Source organism: Homo sapiens, chromosome 10 (assembly GCF_000001405.40).
Source record: "Homo sapiens chromosome 10, GRCh38.p14 Primary Assembly".
Taxonomy (NCBI): domain Eukaryota; kingdom Metazoa; phylum Chordata; class Mammalia; order Primates; family Hominidae; genus Homo; species Homo sapiens.
In genome coordinates, this window is record NC_000010.11 from 72,636,076 (window position 1) to 72,639,920 (window position 3,845).

Sequence of the window (3,845 nt, forward strand, 5' to 3'; positions counted from 1 at the left end):
CAGGAGGCTGAAGCAGGAGAATCGCTTGAACCTGGGAGGCGGAAGTTGCAGTGAGCCGAGATCATACCACTGCACTCCAGACAAATAAATAAATAGGCCGGGCTTGGTGGCTTACACCTATAATCTCAGCACTTTGGGAGGCCAAGGCAGGCGGATCACGAGGTCAGGATTTGGAGACCAGCCTGGTCAACATAGTGAAACCCCATCTCTACTAAAAATACAAAAATTAGCTGGGCATGGTGGTGCACGCCTGTAGTCCCAGCTGCTTGGGAGGCTGAGGCAGGAGAATCGTTTGAACCCGGGAGACGGAGGTTGCAGTGAGCCGAGATCACACCACTGCACTCCAGACTGGGCAACAGAGTGAGACTTTGCCTAAAAAAACAAACAAACAAACAAACAAACAAAAAAAACTGCAGACACTTCACTTGGCATCTCCAGTGCCTTCAGCTTTCTGTGCCTGGTCTGTTTGGGCATCTCTATTTTCCGCAGGTTTATTCCCCTCCTTGCCAGCATCAGCCTTTCCCTTTTTCTCTTTGGGTACCTTCTCTCCCTTCTTTACAGGGCACTTTTAGGCTTGGGCTCTGGCTTTGGAGGAGCAGGTTTAGCAGACAACCTTTCAGATCTTCTCTGAGGTTTGTCCTTCACCATGGCTTTATCTCCTTTAACATCCCCTTCAACCCTTCTCTTGGGCTTGGTAACCATGGTGGCGGAACATAGGCACTGATTGCAGAGATGCAGGGCGCATAGGCTTTGGTCAATTGGGGGTCGTTCTCGCCTCTTCTTCACACTGCTCCATTTTGAAGATCTTTTGCTATCATTATATAAACAGCTATCTGCTTTTTATATTGTGACATGATATTTCATTGTATACATATGCCTTTATTTAATCAGTCACCTGATTTATGTAATCAAACATTTATTTCCAATTTTTGTTCTTACAAATAATCTGCAATAAGTCATGTGCATGACTCACACCTGTAATCTCAGCACTTTGGGAGGCTGAGGCAGGAGGATTGCTTGAGGCCAGGAGTTCAAGACCATCCTGGGCAACAGAGAGACCCCCATTTCTACAAAAAATAAAAATAAATTAGCCAGGCATAATGGCACGCACCTTTGGTCCCAGCTACTTGGGACACTGAGGCGGCAGGATCACTGGAGTCAAGAATTGGAGGCTGCAGTGAGTTATGATCATGCTACCACATTCTGCCTGGGCTACAGAGTAAGATCCTACGTCAAAAAATTTTTTTGCAATAAATAACCTTAAATATACACCATTTTTGTCTATGTGTGAGTCTATGTAAACTCCTGGAAATGAAGCTGTGGAGCCGTGAGTTTCACAGACTGATTTCTCTTGGAAGCAGACTTTGGGACAGAAATTTAGAGTTCCAGACATTTATTGGGAGGTATTCTTGGGTTCAACAGCTATGAAAGGGAGAAGGAAGACGGAATTTGGCAGAAGCAGAAGCTGGCCTGTGATGCACTCATGCAGCCTAAGATAACCCCGTCGGAAAGCTGTGGAGCTGAAATGACTCAGCAGAGTTGTCCTGCACTGGGGGGAAATGGCAAGTCCTTTATATCAGTCATTGGATGTGGGTTGCCACAAAAAAGCATATCCTTGGGTGAGACAGCTCTTTGCTGCTGAGGCAAAACTTGAAGGGGCTGACAAATGAAGACTGTCTGCTGACAGAACTCCTAGCAGCTGGGGCAAAAAGATCTTTCTGGAAAGGGGTGTCTACATTTTGTAATTTTTATAATTTTACCAAATTGACATGACAAGTTATTTTTTATTTATTTTTATTTATTTATTTGTTTTTTGAGACAGAGTCTCGCTCTGTCCCCCAGGCTGGAGTACAGTGAGGCCATCTCGGCTCACTGCAACCTCCACCTCCTGGGTTCAAACAATTCTCCTGCCTCAGCCTCCCGAGTAACTGGGACTACAGGTGCCCACACCACACCCGGCTAATTTTTGTATTTTTTTAGTAGAGATCGGATTTCACCATATTGGCCAGTCTGGTCTCAAACTCCTAACCTTGTGATCTGCCCGCCTCGGCCTCCCAAAGTGCTGGGATTACAGGCGTGAGCCACCACGCTGGTTGACAACATGACAAGTTATACTCCACAAGCAATGTATGAGAATGTCTGTTTACCCATTATCCTCCCCAACATAATGTATTATAAAAATTCTGTATATTTGCCAATCTGGTTAGGTAAAAATGTGACATCTCCATGAGGTATTAATTTTTCTTTTTTTTTTTTTTTTTTGAGATGGAGTTTTACTCTTGTTGCCCAGGTTAGAGTACAATGATATGGTCTCAGCTCACTGCAACCTCTGCCTCCCAGGTTCAAGCAATTCTCCTGCCTCAGCCTCCCAAGTAGCTGGGACTACAAGTGGGTGCTACCACGCTTGGCTAATTTTTGTATTTTTAGTAGAGACGGGGTTTCACCATGTTGGTCAGGCTGGCCTTGAACTCCTCACCTCAGGTGATCCGCCCACCTCGGCCTCCCACAGTGCTGGGATTACAGGCGTGAGCCACCACTCCCTGCCTTATCGAGGGTTTTCTCACAACATGGTGGAGACGGTTAAAGGGGAAGTAGATGCATGTGAAGAGGGGGAAACCTGAGGGCATCCTGACTTTATAACAACCTGTTCTCTCAGGAATTAATCCATTCCTGAGAAAATTAATACAGTTTCTCAAGAGCAAAAATTAACTGCCTGACCAAATAGCACCAAGTCTTTCATGAAGGATCTGCTCCCATAATGCACATGCCTCCCACTAGGCCCCACCACCCAGCACTGTCAAGTTGGGGATCAAATTTCAACATGAGTTTTCTGGGGACAAACAAAGCATATTGAAACCATAGCACTAGGTAAATGTTATTCACAACTGATTCATGTGGACTGCTATAATTACCTTTCTTTATGCCATTTCCTGGTTTATCTACAGTTAATAATTGATTCCTTTATTTACTTTGCTTAGTTTTCTCTGTGTCTATCACTAATTCTTCCTTCAACTCTTTAACAGATGTATCACTGCAGTCTGTGCTACCAACATCTTTCGCCTGAATTATTGGGATAATTGCTTCCTTATTAGGCAATCCAGTTGCTTCTTTATTATCTCTGTTTCCACCCTTGTCTGCCAATAGTCTATTCTCAAATGGAAGCAAGAGTGAACCTTGTAAAAATGTATGCCAATTGTTTCACTTCTATAACAGCTCTCCATTTTCCTCAGAAGCAAAGCAAGTTATTACAGTCATCCATAAGGCCCACAGGATCTGACATATCCCCCCTACCCTGTACCTCTCTGACCTCATTTCTCTTGCTCCTGCATCTCTACCTCTTACACTTCTTCACCCTTACTGGCAATTCCGTCTTCCTAGAAAGTTCTGCCACATATCCACACGTCTAATTGCCTAACTTCCCTCAGGTCTTGGCTTAAATGTTACTTCACAATGAGGTCTATCTTGACTATCCTATTTAAAGCTGTAATACACACTCTACCACCTCCCCATCTACAGCAGTTTTAATCCTCCTTCCCCTGCTTTACTTTGTCTTTTTTTACAGCCTTTATCACCTTCTAATATGTTACACAGTTTGCTTATTTATTATCTCACTTCCCCTTCTAGAATGAATGCTCCCTGAAAGTGGCTCCATGTTTGTGACTCAAAGTGGGTACTCAATAAATATTCATTGTGAATGAATGTATTTTCTTATAAAATGTTCAAACTCATCAGAAAAGCTACCCCTTTCGGCCAGGCGTGGTTGTTCATGCCTGTAATCCCAGCACTCTGGGAGGCCGAGGTAGGAGAATGGCTTGAGTCCAGGAGTTTGAGACCAGCTTGGGCAA

At 44.2% G+C, this 3,845-nt stretch overlaps 1 pseudogene; it reads right to left on the reverse strand.

The window, feature by feature from the left end:
• On the reverse strand, positions 407-793 carry HMGN2P34 (high mobility group nucleosomal binding domain 2 pseudogene 34; annotated as a pseudogene).